Here is a 20,664-nt window from a genome sequence, read left to right as displayed (position 1 = left end):
CCTTCAGTTTCACTGATCTGATTAAACTTAGCAACGGAAAAAGGAATTTACAAATTAGATGCTGTTCTCTATTTATTACCAAAATGGTTGCTTTCCACTACATCCAGGAGATACAGCTGAGTTCTCATTAAGTCTCAGCTTGTGATAACATTTACTCCATAAATCTCCATTGCAGCCAGTGAATGAAATGAGCATTGTGCTGAAGACCACATAATGGACGAAATCAAACCTCTGCCCCCTTTGAAGGGAGTTGACCTTTCAAGCCTTAAATGTATTCAGCTTTCTAGTTGTAAAGAAGCAACTCAGAATTTATTCTTGGTATTCTCTTAACCATTTCCTGACTGCTATTCTTAGCTGGCTAGCTGGCCTTCCTGAGAAAGGATAAAATGAGAAGTATTTCTGACACTTCCGTGGACAGGTTTGAAGAAGAAAGAGGAGGAGAAATTAGTACATGAAGAAAAACATCATGGGATAATCATGTCCTCCTTGAGAAGTGAAAAAGAAATGTTGACAGGCAAGGAATGGAAGATTAAAAATTAATTTATGTGCCTGGTTAATTACATATCCTCTGCTGGATCAGATCTGGCCCAACCTCGTTTTAGATCTGACAAAGTGACAAAGCAGGCCTAAGTGATCCATTCCCAGAGGCAGAATTCCAAGGACTTCCAAGCCAAGACCCTACTTTTATCCCCCAATTTCCAAACCCTTTTCCAACCAATATTCATTGATTGCCTATGCACCAGGATCTGTATGGGATTCTGGTAATACAAAAGTCCCCACATTCAAGATGTACTACCCAGCAGACGGTATCAGATAGATGAATGCCACAGATAAAATGCAATGAATACAGCAGACAGGGAGACACTACAGATCACATACAATAAGTACTATGATGCAGCTGTGGAATGGGGTTTCTGGGAGCATGAAGGAGCGGGTAAGACCCTGCTGGGGAGAAGAGGTGGTGAGGATAGAAAAGGCAGAAAAGGAAGGGATGGTTGATGGGGCTTTGAAGGTGGGGTGGTGAAACCAAGGGCTAACCTAATGAGGTCACCAAACCTAACTTGCCTCACTGGTTTCTAGTTGATTTTAAAACATATGCAGCTAAAAGTCATGTAGTTAAGGAATATGTAACTAAACTTCTACAAGCCTCCTTACAGATAACATCTCTGATGTATAAGTCACCATGATAATGGTTGCTTAAGTCATTTTTCAAGAGCTTGGGGTCAGCTCTTGTCCAGTTCAAGCTAGCTCAGACCACTAATCCTCCAACTGGGCCTGCGTGAGTGTCCAATGGGCGACCTTTTGGCATCAGAGGGCCCAAACATCCATCCTCAGATCACGCTAACGATGCCATTTTGTGAACTTGAATCCCAGGAAGAGCTGTGAAGCTTGACTATACTTGCGCAGATAACCGACGGCCTCACTTTTCCTTACCCCCAATCACCTTTCCCCATGCCTTGGACCTTGCTCCTCTATCCCATAAATATCCCTAAAACCCCATCTTTGGGGAAGTGGATCTGAGACCTGCTCTTCCATCTCCTTGCTTGGCTGCCTTGTGAACAAACGCTTTCTCCGCTGCAAAACTTGTGTCTCCGTGATTGGCACATGGCATGATGGGTAGGGCAAGCCTGGCCTGGTAACATGGCAGTTCGGAAGGCAGATGGTGGGGCTGGGCTTTCCGTGCAGAGATCAGGGTGTGCACAAGTGTGCAGAGGATCGTTGGAAGAACGGGCTGGCTTTCAGGGTGCAGGCAATCCTGCAGGAGGAAAAGTGCAATTCCAGGAGTCTGAGGACTTAAGAAGCTAGAATCAACTGAATTCCTCTGGGGTCTGATGGACTGAAATGATCAGGTTTGGCCCAGGCTCCTGGAGCTAAAGCTAACGTGTGTCAACTGAGAACTACAGAAACAAATTCCAAAGCTGGAAGGGGCTTTTACTGACCTAACCCCCGTCATTTTACAAGCAAGGAAACTGGGAGAGGCCAACTGCAGACTGGCTATCAAGTGGGGCCGTGAAGTCTGGCTGCCTGCTTTTCTCTGGCTCCTGTTAGTTCCTGTATAGCACACGACAATTGTTCAGACTAAAAACTCTGGCATCCTGTTGGGAGAGGAACATGAGGGTCATTCATCCCAGATTGCTGTATTCTCAACTCATCTAATCAAGGGGTAGGACTTAATAGATTAATAGAATTAGTTTACTAAGGGATTATGGAAATTATAATTCATGGACATGATTGTATACCATCTAAGAGGTACAAGAAGAAACTCTGCAGTTTTTATTGAAGCTTGGGATCTTCTTGATGAAAACCTAGGATGCTCGGCCTGATGGTTAGCAACTGACCCCTTAGCTTCCTAGTCAATGCAGAAGTGGTCCAAGGGGCTGGGACCCACCACTGACATTACTTTTTCATGTCAAGCAGATGCTCTCCCCTGTGGGGACAGCAGGGATCTTTTTCTCTGCCTCTGCCAGGCATAGCAAGCATCATGCCAAGCTTTTTACTCAAAGCTGGACCCAGCTGACCTTAGCGAATATTAGTAAATTCATTGAGACTCTAATTCTGAATATTCCTGACAAGAAAGGAGTCCTTAATTTCTTCTTGCTCCTGTGTTTGGTGTGTGTGCATGTGTTAGTAGGTGTGCATTTGGTTATTTTCAGATAATTTTGTTAACATAATAACTGACAGTGGACACCATTATCATATCTCATGAGTCATGGACATGAGATACAATGGTTGGACAGGCTGATTTGAAGCTTGAAATTGAGAAGGTAAACAAAGGCTTTTTCCTTTAAAGCTAGCCTGTCAAGCAAATAATTAAGGCTTTTCAACTTCATCAGTAAGTTGTTGAGAGTAGATCTAGTCTATTACTTCAAGCAAAAGACACAAACAAGTCCCAGCACAGTTGTAATCATTCTTTAACAGTGCTGGCCTGCGGTTTGTCTTCGCTTGACCTCTAATCTTTATACACTGTGATCCTGCACACAAGGCACTATTGAAGTTCTTAGAGTAAGACTTGGGCCATGTTAGTCAAAACCAGACTCAGGCTTAGCAAATAAGGTTTTAGAACATGATTTAGGGAACAGCAAGGGCTCCTCTGCCCAGACATTTTTAAAATGTCTTAATATCCTTACTTTCTTGTAGAATAAAACAAAACACTGAATAACTTTATCAAAATTCAAATATATATATTCAGAAAGGATAAACCTTTAAATTTCTCTTTTATCAAAATTCAAATGTATCTATTTAGAAAGCATAAACCTTTAAATTTCTCTTATCAAAGCTCTTCTGTCCAGTGGCTCGGCCCTGCAGATCTTTGCTGGGGTTACTTTTCTTCAGTCGGAGGAACTAATCTGTATTAATTCTAAATTGCAATGGACGTGTATTTTTATGACTGAGTAAATGGCTACACTTTTCTTTATTCATTCTCTTCTTAGGCTCTCTGCAGCGCCATGTAGAAGTGAACATGCTACTCTATCACTCCAGTCTACCTTCACCGGAGACCATTCATTCATGGGCTGTGTTTAGAGACTCTTGTGCAAACACGTTTCTTGCCCATCATTTCCTTTGAGGAGGGATGACTCTGGATGGCACCACATGTGTGGGCCCTGCTGGTGAATCAAACTGGGTGCAGGAGGAGGAGAGTTTATGGCCTTATCAGTAAAGTGCAAGTTTCGGCTCAAAGCCAGGTGTTTGGAAATGAATACAACTTCCTGTTCTGTTGTGGAAGGCCCTTGCCCTGTTCCCATGATGCTACCTTTGAGCATGTCCTGTGATTTTTCCAGAGACAGTGTTGAAACCTGCTCATATCTCTAAAAGAAACGGAATCCGGGAGCACTGTCAGCTGGGAGGTGGTCACTCCAGTGTGATGTGACAAGGCCCTGGAATAGCAGCACAGACACTTGTCTTTGGGCCAACAGCCCCCACATGGGGTAGGGTGTGGTTCGGGGGATGCATGATTAAGCCCAGGGAATGAGGACAGACTCAGGGACCTGGAGCCCCCTTTATGCCCCAGGGTTTTAGAATTCCGTAATTTTTGGATGGCGATGGAGCTAACCACATGGCTAAATAAGGAATCCAGCACCTGGTACCAGGATATAGAAAGAAAGTAAGACATAAATGAGCCAGCCCTTCTCTCCCCAGCTGCCCCTCTTCTCCTGACCCTCACCCCAGCCTAACGCTGCCAATTGCCTTCTATTTTGAAGAATTCCATCTATCTCCCCAACAGACCACCCTTTTCATTAGGCAACTCTTTGAGCAGATTCTCTGTTGTTTCTGGCAAGGCTTCAGTTCTGTCCCTCTAGCAGTGTGGCATCGACACAAAGTGATCACGGTGATTAACAGTTCAGTACTTACAGCAGGTATCATAGTTATTTAAGAGGACAAAGTCTCTCCTATTATATGAGGGTAGAAATCTCTTCTGGAAACACTGCAGCTGTCACCAGAGGCATGAGTATTTCCATTTGGTGAAGTAATCCTGAAGGATGGAGCCATCAAAGCCTATGTTTGGGGTTGTTACTCGACTTTTTCCCCAGGAGGCATTTAATCATGCAGGCAAGGATTTAATAGGCTGAGTTGCTTGGAATTCTCCATGTGGCACCTTTTAGGGTAAGGGGACTGCTTGTGGGTGTGTTTATGGTCATGGGTATTAAACAGGCCTTGGAATGCCAAGGGGCAGAGGGTCATGGCAGGGATCCCACCAAGGAGCAGGCAGGACAAACCAACTCCCAGGAAGAGCCCCTCAGAGGGGCATGGCACTGCACAACCTCCTCCATCATTCCTGAGGCTGAAAAGCACAAGGTGTTTATCCTGGAGCCTCCAGGATAGGTGTTCAGGGCCTGCCAGCCCTTAGGACCCTATCCCAGTGGATGCAGGCTCTTTCCAATCCTTCCCCGCCTGTCCACTCCCACTCAGGCCTTATCAGCCTCTGACTGACCCCCACTCCGCCTCCAGCTTCTCTCTCCTTCCAGCCCATTGTCCACACTCGGCTGCACAGTGACCTTTCGATGGTAAACTGGTACCTTGTCATCCCTCTGCTTAAATCTCTTCGGTGGCTCCTCCTTAACCACAGGATAGAGTCCCACTCCGAGGCCCTTTGGGACCAGGTCCCAGTCTTTCTGTCCTGATCTTTCTTTTTGGCTTCTCCCCTGTGCACCCTGAACTCAAATCACCATGAAACATGTGCAATTCCATTTCCTTTCCTTCTTTTAAAAATTATTTTGCTTCTACAACTTTGCAAATGTAGCCCCCTCAGCTTAGAAGGTCCGGTTGCGATCTTTTGGCCGTGTGACCTGCTGCCAAACTGCAGCAGGAACACTGTCCTGTGCCCACCCAGCCCCAGTCCTTCTGCCCCCGAGCACTTAGTTAGCTGCTCTTCGCCAGTCCCCTGGAAGTCAGGCGGAAGTGGGAGCTGTGTTCCGGCCGATGGTGTGTCGCGAGCAATGCCCACACTCCCAGGCCTGGCTGCTGAAGCCTCCAGCAGGCCCTCTGCTCCCTCTTCTGCTGGCCCGATGCAGAGCAGACAGGGGAGACTGTGAGGCCCCGGGGGTGGCAAAGCCACAAAAGGGGTGCAGCCTTGGGGCCTGAAGACCGGTGTGGTGGAACTCTCCTCCCTCCCATCCCCAGCTCACACTCCACCGTGGGGTGAAAAGTAACCTTTACTGTACTAAGCAACTGAGATTTCATTTGGGGGCTGCTTATTACAATGGTCCACCAACCCTGACTGACATGGCACCTTCATGAATCCTTCTTGGGGCAGGCAGTCCCTCCCACCCTCTTCCAAACTCTGCTCTCTGTCTTCTGTGTTTCTCCAGCCCCTGGTTCATGACTGCAATTCATCACTGTCACCTGTCTGTTGGTGCATCTGTCTCCTGAACTAGGCTGTAATTCCCCTTAGGACAGAGACGGTGTCTATTTATCTTAGTATTCTGGGTGCCCTGTTGGGACTTAAATGTGTGTTAATGTGCCCATGTCTCTCTCAAGCACTCAGGATGGCCTGGCATGCATGTGGCTCTAGGAGGTTCCCTCAGACACTAGCCACTGTGTTGAGGCCAATGATTCCACTTTCTGTGACCTTTCCACTAGCTTCAGGGTTCCAGTTCTATAAATCATCCTCCCATGCCATGCACCCGACGATGGAAATACAATACGTGGCTAATCTCCCTCCATTACTGGATGATAATTTTCCACATCAGCAAGTAGTGAGAAAGGCTGGAGCTGTCACTCTCCCCTCCACTGATAGCCTCTGACAGTTAAGATATCTTGATGCGGCATGAGCTTCTTACCCCCACTGTTTACAGAGAAGGAAGCGTGGAGTGGGTGAGGGAGGCAAGGGTAACTGTAGTGTAGGCAGCTCTGTTTCGGGGCTGAGCACTGGTTATTGGAGAAAATGGATCAAAGGGAAACTCAGGATGATTCATCTCCCCTTCCATCCCTCTGCTGAGCTACTTTAACGCCCAAGTGTATAGATCGATTTGCAAAGCACCAAATTAAAGTCAAATCAGCTCTTTACTGAGTGCCTACTCTGGGCAAGGCCAAGTGGACACAGGCAGATCCATTCTTAAAGCGACCCGTGGCTTTAGGTAGGTGACAGGACTTCTCCAAAGACACCACGTGTCAGTGATCCCCCCCGGGGCCCCATAGTGCTGAGGTTCCTGGGATCAGAGACTCAGAAGTGATGACGCTGTAGCACTGCACAGCCCAGAATCATCAGAGGCGGTTCCATGACATTCCTCACACCGTACTTGCCAAGGCAGGAAAGTGGTAAGCTAGAACTCCCATCCCCAGAGCATTGTGGCTGATCAACACCCTCCTCTAAGCCAGTCCCAAGGAACCCTGAACTGAAGGAAATCGGATAGGTCACGGAATTGACACATCTCCTTCCAAACAAAACTGCCTCTTAAACCATTCCAAAGGGATGGCGCTTGACCTCAGTTCGCTTTTTCTTTCCGTGAGCAAGATAATGCCATAACTTCTTTCCATGCTTCAAACAGAGTTCTCAGAATCATAAAGTTCAACTTAAAAAAAAATCAAACCCATGCCCTACTACCAGCACCACCGCCCCCGCCCTCCCGCCCCATCTCCGCTCTTTTCCTCCTTTCTCCGTCCACCTGCTTTGCATATTAGGCTGAAGCGATAAATGCAACAACCAAGGAAAATTCACAGGCTGTTCCGGCTGGGGGACTGGAGGGCCCACTTCTGGTTCCCCTGGTTGGAAGAGAAGGGCATTCGTGAGGGGGCTTGTGGTAGAGACCAGCATGGTACGGAGGGAGCAACGGCCACATAACTGTGCAACTTACAAGCTGAACAATGTGAATACGTTAACTTTTCCGAGCCTCACTTTTCCCATCTGCAAAATGGGGCAAACAATACCCATGTGAGATGATCTTGGGCAAGATGAAAGGAGACCATCCAGGCCTTCTTCACCTTCCATGCAAGAAAAAGACATCCCCTCTCATGCCTCTGCCCCTGTCCTTCCTCTGCCCCCCAGCCCAGGAGAGCCCCAGAGGGCTGAAATGTATCCATGATCCAAACTCAGAATCTAAAAGTTGACGCCATACAGTGAAACAATGACCCCTCCTACGGGGAGTATGTGGGCATGAGGCAGCTTTGTCCCTGTTCTGTCGACTCCCGGCTTTCTCTTCTCCTGGGACTATATAATTCTAACTCCTTCCAAACTTTCCTCTCGGCCCACTTTCTCAACGCCAAATCATTTCTGCCCATTCTGTCAACCACAATACACTCTCTGGGGGCTACCATGAGCATGGCTAAGACTGGAAAAATGGTATTTGGCCAACTAGGTATGAATATAGGGCTATCAGACCTTAATTCTCTGATCCGAAGAGAATTCAATTCAATTCATTATGTGTTTTTGGGGGAAGTCTGTGAAATAGAAATCATTGCCCTACATACTGAGTGGGAGAGTGAATAAGAAGTTACCAATGCACGCTGCTGCCTCCCAAGAGCTTTCTATATAACAAGACGGCTGGGCCACCCCCACCGACTGGTGGGTAGGTGAGGGTTGAGTGCTGACAGTGCCTGTCCTGAGATGGGGGCTCTGGGAGGCCTGAGCCAAGACGTGCTCTTCGACCTGGGCTAGGAGGCCACGGAGGAGCAGGGGAGGAAACAGGTGCTGTAGGCAGAGGGATGGGAGATGGGTAAAGGTGCAGAAACAGGACAGCAGCAGGCGTTTCTGGAAAACAAGATGCAGTCTGGCTTTGCGGCAGGGCAGTAGGGAGTGATAAGGTTCAAGCTATTGGCTGGGACAGGTTGGAGATGCCTGAAATACTGAGAGATGTTCAGGCTTTATTCTGTACCCATGGAGACACATTCAAAGCTTTTGAACAAGGGAGTGACACAGTCGGCTGCAGAAATATGAACTTGGCTGCATTACACAGGTTGCGTGGGAACGGGGCTGGAAGGCAGGGCAGCAAGGTGGCTGCGAGTCCAGGCGGAGAGAGGTGAGGGGAGAGGAGGGAAGGAGTGAGAAGTCCAAGCGAAGAAGCGAAGAGGACAGCCCATACGACTTGACTGACTGAACGCAGGCACTGATAACTGTGGAAGGGCACAGGAGAGGAAAGAGGAAGGCGGCTTTGTATCCTGGGGAACTGGGAAGATGAAGAAGCCTCTGGAGAGAGAAGTGGGCTCGGAAGATGCTGGTTTGGGCTGGGACCCTGGCGGGCAGGCAGAGGATGCTGTCCTCCAGGCCCTGGAGAGGAAGAGGGCCTTCATGCTCCACACCCTGCCAAGGACCCCCAGTGTGCCTGGCAGTTCAAGAGCTAACAGCCTGTTTGCTCTGCCCCTGCAGGGTGGCTGGCTAGCCAGCGATCCCAGGAACACAGCTGCTCTCTATCCACATCCACTTTAAACTGCAGGAGAGGTCCCGGTGGCTCCCTGGTAACTCTTGTCCCTCCAAAACCACAGTGTGGCCTCCACAACACCCGACCCAGCCCCTGCTGCTCATAGGCCCCTCCACACAGCCTCTGTTCCTACCATAGCTGTTACACAGTGAAAGGTAGACCAATACAAAGGCAGGTATCTAAAAAGGGTGTGGGAATCCTTCTTCTGGTGTCTTTCTCAGCTGGTATTGACAATATTCTCCACCATAAACCTAGCCATCTGGATTCTGGAGTTTGTTGGCTTATCAAGGTTATCGTTTTGGCCTGGACACTCCCCTAAAGTCAAGTAGGCGTCTCCCCAAGGGGAGCAGAGCCTTTATTAGCTGATGGCTTGGCAGAGCTGCCAGGCACCTTTATGCTGATCTAATGCCAGGCCCAGGAAGCTATGAATGTCTCCTGTCAAAATGTTATGTGGCTGTCACCTTCCCACTCCTCTGAAGCACACGGCCATTGGTCAATGAGAAGACTGTCATGGCTTCCCTCCTCTGAAGCACACGGCCATTGGGCAATGAGAAGACTGTCATGGCTTCCCTCCTATGAAGCACACGGCCATTGGTCAATGAGAAGACTGTCATGGCTTCCCTCCTATGAAGCACACGGCCATTGGTCAATGAGAAGACTGTCATGGCTTCCCTCCTCTGAAGCACACGGCCATTGGTCAATGAGAAGACTGTCATGGCTTCCCTCCTCTGAAGCACACGGCCATTGGGCAATGAGAAGACTGTCATGGCTTCCCTCCTCTGAAGCACACGGCCATTGGGCAATGAGAAGACTGTCATGGCTTCCCTCCTCTGAAGCACACGGCCATTGGGCAATGAGAAGACTGTCATGGCTTCCCTCCTCTGAAGCACACGGCCATTGTGCAATGAGAAGACTGTCATGGCTTCCCTCCTCTGAAGCACACGGCCATTGGGCAATGAGAAGACTGTCATGGCTTCCCTCCTCTGAAGCACACGGCCATTGGGCAATGAGAAGACTGTCATGGCTTCCCTCCTCTGAAGCACACGGCCATTGGGCAATGAGAAGACTGTCATGGCTTCCCTCCTCTGAAGCACACGGCCATTGGGCAATGAGAAGACTGTCATGGCTTCCCTCCTCTGAAGCACACGGCCATTGGTCAATGAGAAGACTGTCATGGCTTCCCTCCTCTGAAGCACACGGCCATTGGTCAATGAGAAGACTGTCACGGCTTCCCTCCTCTGAAGCACACGGCCATTGGGCAATGAGAAGACTGTCATGGCTTCCCAACAGCTTAACCTAGCAAGCCTTGCCCAGAGCTGGTGGTTTTGCTTTGGGAAGTGTCCGACAGCTCACTGAAACAGGCTGACGTGCCTACTTCGCACTGTATACACAATACAGCCTTTCCATAGCTCTTCCACTGCTCCCCTGGCTGGGAAAATGGCATTTGTACACTTACGGGGCCAGATAGCACAGCAGCCAGGCTGTGCTCCAAAGGTAATGTGCTACCAATGAACAGACCCCTTCTGGATCCTTACTACAACATGGCCCCCACGCCCCGCTTTGGGTGAGATGCCTCTCACAACACCAAGTCCACAGGACCTCGCCCATGGGTATTCATGACTACCAGAACCAGAAATATCCATCAGTGGTTTCACTGCAGAGCCCCAGTACACAGCCCCACTAGCCACCATGGTCTTCAGGGAACAGCAAAATCTCGTTGCTTAAGAACTCCCAATGCTTTCCCACGGCACTTCAATTTCCCTGTCATCGCCACTGTCCACACGTATGGGGGGCTCTGTGCTTATTCGCCTGTTTCCAAATGGTGCCTTCCAAGAGTTGAGAGTGACTGAGGGCTATTGGAAAGCAACCGTGTTCATGAAAGGAAATGACTTTGAAAGGATGTCATCGGTGATGCCACAAGGAAGTCAATTCTGAGCAGACAGAACAATGAGCCAACTCAGTCCAGGGGCAGTGTGAGCTCACCTGTTCCAACAGCTTAGAGCATGGCAGAAGGTGCTTTGCCAAAACTGGCATATGGCATGCACTCGCGTTTGCGTGTGTTCGTGTGACTCATATGTGCCATGACATTCCCATGCTCTGGCCTGTGTCAGGTCATGGGGACACAACGGTGAATTAAAGGCAGCCCCAAGAAGGACCTCTCAGTGTAGCCCAGCAAGCAAGTGTAAAGAGGTGGATGTAATTCCACAAGATAAATGGGGATGTGCCCCAAGAGCTAGGGGGACAGAGGGACAGTTAGGGAGTGCTGCTGCCTGGGTATCCAAGAAGCCTTCTGTAAGGAGCACTGTGGTCTGCTGGGCAGGGTCCTGCATGGGGAATCTGGAGCCCTGGGTTTGAGTGCTGACTTCAGTAACATTTAGGCAGGTGGCTGTTTCCCACCTTGGGCTCCAGTTTCCTCACCTGATCTCTCCAGCAACTTTCCAGCACTAAAGTTTCCAGGGCTCTGATTAGGACCAGCTAAGAGTTAACGTGAAGGCCCAGGAGCTACTTCCAGGCTCTGCCTTAAGGATCTGCTCTCACTTCATGGCCTGGCAGCATGATCACTCAACAGTGCAAGGTATGAACAGAATCAAGGACAAAAACAAATATTGGCATGTCTTCTCATGTAATCTGAGCCAGATGCTTCACATGTGTTTGTGTGACTCGTATGTGCCATGACATGGGATTGTGTTGTAGGTATCGAGAGATCTAGATAAATACTGATCGTACTGATTTTTTTTTTTTTTTTTGAGACAGCGTCTGGCTCTGTCGCCCAGGCTGGAGTGCAGTGGCGCGATCTCGGCTCACTGCAAGCTCCGCCTCCTGGGTTCACGCCATTCTCCTGCCTCAGCCTCTCAAGTAGCTGGGACTACAGGAGCCCGCCACCGCTCCTGGCTAATTTTTTGTATTTTTAGTAGAGACGGGGTTTCACTGTGTTAGCCAGGATGGTCTCAATCTCCTGACCTCATGATCCACCCGCCTCGGCCTCCCAAAGTGTTGGGATTACAGGCGTGAGCCACCACGCCCGGCCCTGATTTTTTTTTAAAGATCAAATAACTATGTACATGCCCTTGACACATATAAAATAATGTAAATCAGCGATATTCAGGTTACTGCTCTCAAGCCACATGGGGCCCTATCGTGGGCAACCTGCAGCTCTTACAAGCCTTCCAATTTCCTGTCTCAGTAATATGTGATCCTAGACTCTGTTGGGCAGGCAGCAGGCACGTGGCTCTGCTAGCTGGTGATGACTGCAAAAGTGGCTCCCGAGTCACATAACTCGATACCATGGGGTAAATATTTAATCCTGCTTATCTGCATGGAAATTCAATATTTTGGTTCCACTGTCTGTCTGTCTGTTTACGTGCTCATCCACATCAATGTCTGTATTGAACTGCAAGCTTTAGAGAGCCAGGGTGCATTTAAGTTGTCTTAATGACATGAAAGAGAGATTCCTGTAAGGATGGATATTTAATAGATGTGTTTTTTCATCTTGAAGAGGAAAAAGAAGAGAATCTGTCTCTTTTTCTTTATGGCTTCTCCCTGTAGTGTCTGACCTTCTATTAGATTTAACGTCGGAGCTGGAAGATGAGCCCTGTCCCTTTGAGCAGTGCATCTCTGCTGATGACAATAACCCTGCACTAATGACAGTTCTGCAATGGGTCCCTTCACAGGGGCTTCTCACTGCTGCTCAGAGGGAGGGGAGAAGCAGTCACTAGAGTGGGGAGACCTCAACATTATCCTAGTCTTTACCCAGAGAGAAAAGGGGCTTGGCTCTTGGCTGCCCCACTTAGGAAGCCACATCCAGGGCAACAGTACATAAACATGCCCCTTTCTTGCCCCTTTTTTGCCTTTTTGGCTCTGAAATGGCTCTTGAGTATCACGTCCTCTTTTTTCCAAGACTGTAACCCATTGCAGAGGCAGTGGCTAGTATTGGCATTGCTGTAGAAGGGAACATCGTGATGGGCTAAGCTTTAGACACTGACTGTCTTGAGGCCATGGGCATGCTAGAGTCTGTGTGAGTCTCCTCCTCTCCTCTTTCTGGTTTCCTGATGGCCAGACTCTTCAGATGGCTGGAAGCTGGGCCATGCCAAAGAAGCAAGAAGCCTGCAGAGCAACGCTCCATGCCATTGCAGGAGGCATGCAGACTCGAGAGATGCACAGGGTAAGGCTGATTTGCCAGGAAGCTTTCTCCCCAGCATTTCATCCAACAGCCTGTGTTAAGGCACCAGCAAGTGAGCCCCACATTGCTAAGCCCAATGGTCAGTTTCCAGTCACAGCAGCAACGCTCACACCCCTTCCTTTGCATTCCCTCCTGTCTCTCTGGCCATGCCTTTAGGAGTCCTGTTTGCTGGTTCTTTCCCTGTATCCCAATCTCCAAACATCAGTAGGGCTAGGACTCAGTTCTTGGACAGCATCTCACTTCTGTCTACACTCACACCCCAGTGATCTTATCCAGAGATCCAGGGGTTAAGTATCTTCTATATGTTGTTGACTTCCCAAATTACAGTTCAGCCACAGATCTCTCTCCTGGAGAGGTTCATTCCTTATTACATACTCAACATCTCCACCTGGATGTTTAATAGGCACTTCAAACTTAAAGGTCTCAGATGGCTTTCCTGATCCTCCTGCCCTGACACCCGTTCCTCTCACAGACTTCCCCATATCCATAAATGACAATTCCCCTCTTGCCATCGTTTAGGACAATTGCCTTGGAAAATGCCCTACCTCTCTCTCTCACATCCCATATCTGACGCGTCTGCAAATGACATCATCCTGAAGTCTGACCTTATCACTTCCATGGGTGTCAAGACCAGGCCCAGCATCTCCTGAGGCAGCAGGCACCTGACGGGACCCCTGCCTCTCCCTGGCCCACCTTCATTCCATTCTGCACATGGCAGGCAGACGGATCCTGATAAGTGTCTGTCAGATCGTGTTGCTTCTCTGCTCAATAGCAATTAAATACCCAGAGGCTCTTTGGTTCACTCCCAGTAAGAGCCAAGTTCTCACAATAGTTTATATACCCTACTCCTTGGGTCCCACAGCCTCACCTTACACCATTCACCCCCTTACTCCCTCCTCTCCAGCTGCACAAGCCTCCTCAGCTCCGGATTCATCAGCGTGGCCCCTTCTCATTGGCCCCTTCTCGCTAGCCTCTAGAAGGCTCCTTTCCCAACTATCTGCATGGTGCTTTTCCTTCCAGCCTCCACGTCTTTATTCCAATGCTGCCTCGATCGTGAGACATTCCTTGGCTGACCCCTTAAAATCACAACCTCTCAACACTCTTCCCCCTTCACTGCTTCCCCCCTCTCTGGCATGCTATTTAATTTACCACCTGTCTCTCTACTAGAATCTAAGTTCCACGAGGGCAGGGACTTTTGACTCCCTTGTTCACTGCTCTATCACCAGTGTCTATGGCAGTGCCTGGCAGAGAGCAGACCTTTCATGTGTGGATGGGTGGACTAATGAATGAATGAACTGGAACATATTTTTGTATATAACTTACGGGCCACTTCACTTACACTAATATTTAGAGAAATGTCCCCAACTGCACGCTTTCTTTCTGTTGTCCTTCCAGCCCATTTTTTCTACTCCTTGGTGGCTTTTGCAGCTTTCCCTAAGGAAACAGAATCCCTGGGCTCCCCTAAGATATGCTGGGTGTCACCAAGCAGCTCCTGCACTGCACTCAGCCCCACCTCCCCAGCCTCACACCACGGGCATCCAGATGCTGCCCAGGGGAGAAGCGGAGTCACCACAGCTGCTGATGAAGAGTGATCGGCCTTTTCTCTTAAAAGATGACTTGGCTTTTGAGCTGAAGAGAATTGGCAAACATACCATACTATAGTCTTTTAGAAATTTCAAAGGCTAAGATATTACGGTAATTGAAACACACATGCTTCAAACGTAGCAGGATTTCTCCCCTTGTATTTGTTTCAAAGAGCAATCTATGAAATTCTCAAGACAGGAAGATAGTTTCTGAGCCACTGTCTTACCTTTTTTGCAAGTGAATTAGGCCTCTGATTCCTTAATCATTTCATCACATCAATTCTACTTTTAATTGGACTTCCCCAACAGACACAGTCTCTTCCCAGCTCCACTCCTGTCTCTCACGTTCCACTTCATTGCATGTGTCTATCTTACTCTCTACATCTTGCTTTTTAAAATATTCATTCCCCTGCCTCATCCCCTGGAACTGTCCCACTAATTAGCATTTCCACTAATGAAGGAGCCAGGCTCCCACTCCAGTCCTCTTAGGACAAGAAACAGACCCCCAGGGCTCCTCCAGCCGTAAGGAAGCAGTGCAAGGTGAGAGAAACCAGTCTCCAGAGTCTAAGGCCATCCTTATCTAGGCTTAGGAAAATCTTAGCGAGACTGTCTATTGGGTTAGGCAGCTCATTATGCTCTTCTCAAAGTTTGTCAAGAAATTTGGGTAGATGGGCCTTGTCAGTGTGATCTGCTCCAGCAGCAAATAATACTCCATGCTGGGAACTCTCCTAACAATTTATTCATTTAATGGGTTAGATGGAGAAGCAGCACACTCTCCCTTGGAAGCTCCTGTTTTAGGCGGAGAACAGAATAGCAACGTTCTGTTATCTCGGTGGATAACCACTGGCTGCTAAGCGTGTAGTGGCTACTGCAGGTTTTCAATAACACGCGCTACAGAAATGCTCATCACCGTCAGTCACAAGGTAGCACCAGTGCTCTGACTTAGGGTGGAGCCAGGAGCCAGCATACAAATTCCTGCATTTTAGAGGTAGGCTTCTCCGTGGCTCACAGGCCAACTTATTTATTTACCATACCACTCAGTGCCACAAACTAATCAACTACTCCTCAGTTCCATCAACAGTGTAATAGAAGGTGTCAGGCATTTTTCCAGGAAGACCCTCATTGTTATAATCCATCAAAGGCCCTGTATTCCAACTTGCAAAACCACTTAATGGAGCACAAAGGCCTCCTTAGGTTACTACATTATGTTGTTAACAGTCCCTTGTTGTTTGTGTGCTTTAATTTTGTATTTGCTCCTTGAGCAGCGTTATCAGAAAGGGAGCAGTTGATAGATTTATTAAAGCTATCTTTGAAATGAGGGAGCAGAGATTCTGCTCCCGTGAACATCTTTGGCTATCTTCGTCCTTTCTTCCTGCACCTGTTTCTGCTCCTGGCAGCTCTTCTCATCATCCTCTCTGCTCAGGGTGAAGTTCCAGTTCCCTGTCTTTACCAGCATGACTCCACGCAGCAAATGCCCTGGATGGCTCTTTAACCTGTTTGCTTCGTGGAGTACTCTAGATGCTCAGTGTTTAGGAAACTGTTTTTAAGTAAGGCTGCTTGAGAGGACAAAAATGCACCTATTCAAACATGTATAGTGAAAGAGAAAGATATCACACACAGAAAAAGAAAGAAAGAGTATGATTCGAGTCACAGAGATCAAGGCCAAATGAGATATAGAGAGTGGTTAGAGTTAACCCAAAGCTTCTCAAATTTACTATGCATCTTGATCACCTGGGGGAGTTGTCAAAACAGAGATTCCTGGGCCCCATTCCCACAGTTTCTGGGTCAATAGATCTGGAGTGGGGCCCAAGACTTTGCATTTCTAACAAGTTTCCAGGTAATGCTGACGCTGCTGGTCAGCGGCCATGCTTTGAGAACCATGGAGCTAGTCTGGTAAGAGCCTGAATTTTCATGATCCGTCATTTTTTACGTATTTGTGAGTCAATGTCATCCATCACTTTCATTTCTATCTCAGCCACAGCCTATCCAACAAGGGGCCACGTGAACCCCCAAGGAAGGGAATTGGCTCAACTTCCATCACCTAATTGCATTCTGCCGAATTCCTCTGGGCTTCCCCCAACACTCCCACTTAGCACTTCCCCAGGTCTTTGAATCTAACCCCCTTAAGGAAAACCTTTCACTACCTTTCCTATGAGAAAGCTCAGTGGTGCATGGAAATCTGCAAAGGGGGAAGGAATCCTGAGCAGGTATAAAGTTTTCCAGGCAGCTGCTTGGCACACATTGTTCCTTTTAAACAAGCCTGCGCTTTCAAACGGGAAGCCTGTGCCCCTGCCCAAAGAGGTGGAACCTGGAGGAGAAGGATCTCTGATTTTAAAAAAGCCTCTGCCTTAGCAAAATCTCAACAGTCTTTCAAGGTGAAATATTCTAAAAGGAGCATGAGGTTTTCTAGATCGACAGCTATGATTTCCCACATGTGACCGATGTCTGTGTGCAGCAAGTGACTGCCATCAGTGAGATAACTGCTGCTCCAGGAAGGCACCCCGTGGGCTTCTAAGAAAGGGTGGCGGTCAAAGTTCTGTGCTGACCCCGATGCTGTCTCCTCTCCCCCAGAACCCAGCCCAAACACAGAAGAAGACGGCTGCTCACTGTTTCGGGGCTTCTCCTCATCCATGCCTTCGTCCTCATTCTCAGGATCGATGTCTTCGGCCTGAGTGATCCAATCCAGGTAGCCTTTGAGATCCTCTTCTAGCTGCTGCTTCTCCCGCAGCTTCTGGAAATCTCCCCGGGCCTTGGCCTTCTCCCTCTCTTTGGAAAACTCTCTGGTGAGAGTGAGAGGAGGGGCAGGGCAGGAGAGCACAGAGAAGGAGGGAGCACCGAGAAGGGTCGAGGATGGAAGGAGAGATGGAGATAAGGAGAAACAAGAGTCTTAATTGCTTTGCAGGGAGAAACCTGCCCACACGCCCCTACTTTCCACAGACAGCTCCGCTAGTCAGCCTAGGTTAGGTCTACTATCACCTCGATGGGAAGCGTCAGTAAGGGGACATTCCTGACACTGGCCAGGAGAGGCTTAAGGGGATGGATGAAGTCCATCTCCCTCTTTTCCTGGATCATGATCACAGGCTTTGCTTTTTAATAACTGTTCTCCGAAGACCTGGGAACTCGTTCCAAGCAGTAACTAAAAACCTCCACCACCATTCCAGAACATGCATTTCCATCCCACCCAGTATTGAGTGGTAGTTTAAAATTCTCCCAAGGGTCTCCAGGTGACACAAGGTTTTAGGACCGGCAGTGTACCAAAGCCCACTCACTCGCCCCAGGTCCTGAGAGCCAATCATTCATGTCTCTTCCCAACTCTGGCTTCAGGGATGTCTCGCTGGTAGCTTGAGATCGGCCACAGTGGGAATATTTACACCATGGTAACTGGCAAATGCTGAAAACCAGGGCTTTCCCCATAGAGAGCCAATTGTTAAATATTTACCAGTATACCACTGATTTGGGACCCAGGAGATTTAATGTCCTCAATCTCTATTCTTATGACGAGCTCAACCTGCCACTCAGCATTCCTGGAAGGATTTCTAATCTAGAGAAGGTTCTCTCCCACATGAAGACAAATGAAGATTCCAAACACAAGAAAATGTCCTGGGGGCTGCCCTTTTGGTTTAAAGAAATCCAATCAGAATAGAAAAATACATAAAATCAAGATGATATAAAAGTTAAATGATGCATTTGATTTAAAGTAATAATGAGTAGAAATTGAAACTGGGGTGGGATTTGCTGGAAGAATGGCCTATTGAAAAATTTCTGACACAATAACTATTTCTTTTCTATGATTCTGTCCTAATTTTCTCTCTGACTTCGAATTCACTTTCTGAGCAAGGAGGAGGCTGGCAGGAGAAGGCAATCATCAACAAAGTGAATTCTCAACCCTCAAAGCAAGTCTGTGCCTTTTCTTGCAAAATAGGCATAGGGGAGTATTTTTGGTTTTGATATGCAGTCTTTGGGGAATGAGGCCCTTGGTGGTGCATGTATGTGTGTATTTGTGTGTGTGTGTGTGTGTGTACATGCATAGGACATCTTGGTTAATTCTTGGAGCCATGATGTCTTCCTCTCTCACCCATGAAGGCCCAGTTCAGGGCACGAGGCTGCTGGAAGCACCTTGGAGAATTTTTTGCTGAAGCCACACTCTAGGAAAGGCACCATGGAAGGAGGGACAGCACCACAAACCATAAGAGGGCAAAGGGCTCTGCTTCTGAGTCTACTGTCATGTGGGGCAGCTCCATCACTACCTGCACTGCCTAGTGCTTGCATTTGGCCTGTGCCACTTGGGAGAGCACTAATTTCAGCATGCACCGTCTTTATGGTGAGATGGAGTTGGGGCTGGGGTGGGGCCTAGGGAACTTTTTAATTGGGAGAATGTGGGGGCTGTCAAGCTAACCAGTTCTCTTCAACTGCTGCCTTAATGATGCTCTGGTTTGGATTGAATTTTCTTCTTAAATTTGATTGAATCCAATTCTAATTGGATTGTACTTGCTGTTTCTTGGGCTTCCTGCCAACCAGTGGGTACCTTCATTTTTTTCCCAAGGACTTTTATGCTAGGGAAAAGGGACAGATTGACAGCTCACAATGGCGAGGGAAACTTTGCTCCTTCCCTTCTGGGGATGATCATAGAGAGATGCCATCCCCTCTCCTCCTAACCTCTTATCCCCTGTACCTGGTTAAGCCTTCGGGGCCTTAGTCTTGCTCCTGGAGACAGTAACCTCATATAGCATTTTTCTCCCTATGCAAATCAACTCCAAAAACTATGTTTCAAGGCCTCCTCTCTTGACTGTCTTTCTGTCTACCTCCATTTGCACCCCTCTGGGGTGGGTTTGGAGTTGCAAGGGGCTGAACTTCACAGTCCCTTGTAAGGGCTCACTTCAGCTCTTTTGAGTGACTTTGCAGAGGGTTCAAGTTCTGGTTACAAAACACCTTCCCATCCTTCTTTTGGAATTGGGAGAATAGGACTGGGACTCAACTGGAATAGGGACAATTGGCCCAATCCTGTTTTACAGCAACAGTCCCATGGAATGAAGCTCACCATCTATACCCCAAGGCCTCTGGGGATCTAAAATAAACATTACAGGGGGAGAAACAGAACACGAGGTATGCTGGTGATTCTGCCTGGCTTGAAGATAATTTTCCTCATAGAGGAAGGATGTGTTTTGGGAGTGTGAGAGGGATGGAGAAGGGCTTTAGTCAGATCTGGAGCATGGCTGGATCCCATGGAGTATGAGGCACAGACAGGCTTGAGGCTGGATGGAAGATGAGCCAAGGTTTCCCACGGTAAAGGATCTGCTGGTGGCAGTGCCTGGCTCTCTTTATCTCCTTGCCTGGATGCCAGCCATGTTCCTGCTCTGGGGACTGAGCTAATGAAGACATGGAGCCCCAGCCTGACAGTCTGCACTGGGCCCAGGGACTGAAGCCGGCAAGACAATCAGTCACAGCTGTGGGATTTGTCACGAGACAGGACTGCATCTCTCGCCAGCAATGGCCAACATGAAAAATGAGGGGTGGTGTGGAGAGCCAGGGGCCAGGGCTCAGCGATGTGAAGCATGCACAGGGCGGTGTGTGTGGAATCCAACCAATAGCCTGAGGTGTGCTAGGCCCTTTGATCATCGATACCACCCAGGCTCCTTATTTGTGGATCCCACATCTACAAATGCGCCTACTCACTAAAATGTGTTTGTAACTCCAGAATCAATACTCGTGGCACTTTCAGTCATCTGTGGACATGTGCAGATGACAAAAACTCTACATGTTCCCGCTGAGGCCAAACAAGGGGCATGTAGAGTTCTGCCTTCCCAATTCAGCTCTCATACTGTGAGGTGTCCTTTTCACCGTCCACTTAGTGCCATGTTTTCTCATTTTTGTGCTTTTTGTTGGTGATTTTGCTGTTTAAAATGGCCCCAAGCATAATGCTGAAGTGCCGTCCTGTGTCACTATGCGTAGGAGGGCTATGATGTGCTGCACAGAGAAAACACGTGCATTAAATAAGCTTCACGCAGGTGCGAGTTACGGTGCTAGTGGCCAGGAGTTTAATGTTCATGAA

At 48.3% G+C, this 20,664-nt stretch overlaps 1 protein-coding gene across 56 annotated transcripts in view, besides 1 other annotated feature; it reads right to left on the bottom strand.

The window, feature by feature from the left end:
* The window catches only part of CACNA1C (calcium voltage-gated channel subunit alpha1 C), a 727,171-nt gene that overhangs the window by 167,744 nt on the left and 538,763 nt on the right, over nucleotides 1-20,664 (bottom strand). For all 56 annotated transcript variants that reach the window (XM_017019926.3, XM_017019934.3, XM_017019946.3 and 53 more), the window contains one exon: nucleotides 17,223-17,395. In XM_017019926.3, coding sequence (XP_016875415.1) covers nucleotides 17,223-17,395 — 173 coding nt within the window. The remainder of the gene's footprint in view (nucleotides 1-17,222; nucleotides 17,396-20,664) is intronic.
* Nucleotides 9,064-10,263: an enhancer, noted in NCBI's record as "MED14-independent group 3 enhancer chr12:2629110-2630309 (GRCh37/hg19 assembly coordinates)". NCBI's record gives its function as "activates an origin of replication core promoter dependent on BRD2, BRD4, P300/CBP and CDK7 cofactors, and independent of MED14, by STARR-seq in HCT116 cells {active_cell/tissue: HCT116}" and the evidence as "EXISTENCE:reporter gene assay evidence [ECO:0000049][PMID:35650434]".

This window comes from Homo sapiens, chromosome 12, assembly GCF_000001405.40.
Source record: "Homo sapiens chromosome 12, GRCh38.p14 Primary Assembly".
Classification (NCBI taxonomy): Eukaryota; Metazoa; Chordata; class Mammalia; order Primates; family Hominidae; genus Homo; species Homo sapiens.
This window is presented reverse-complemented; position numbering and strand designations above follow the sequence as displayed.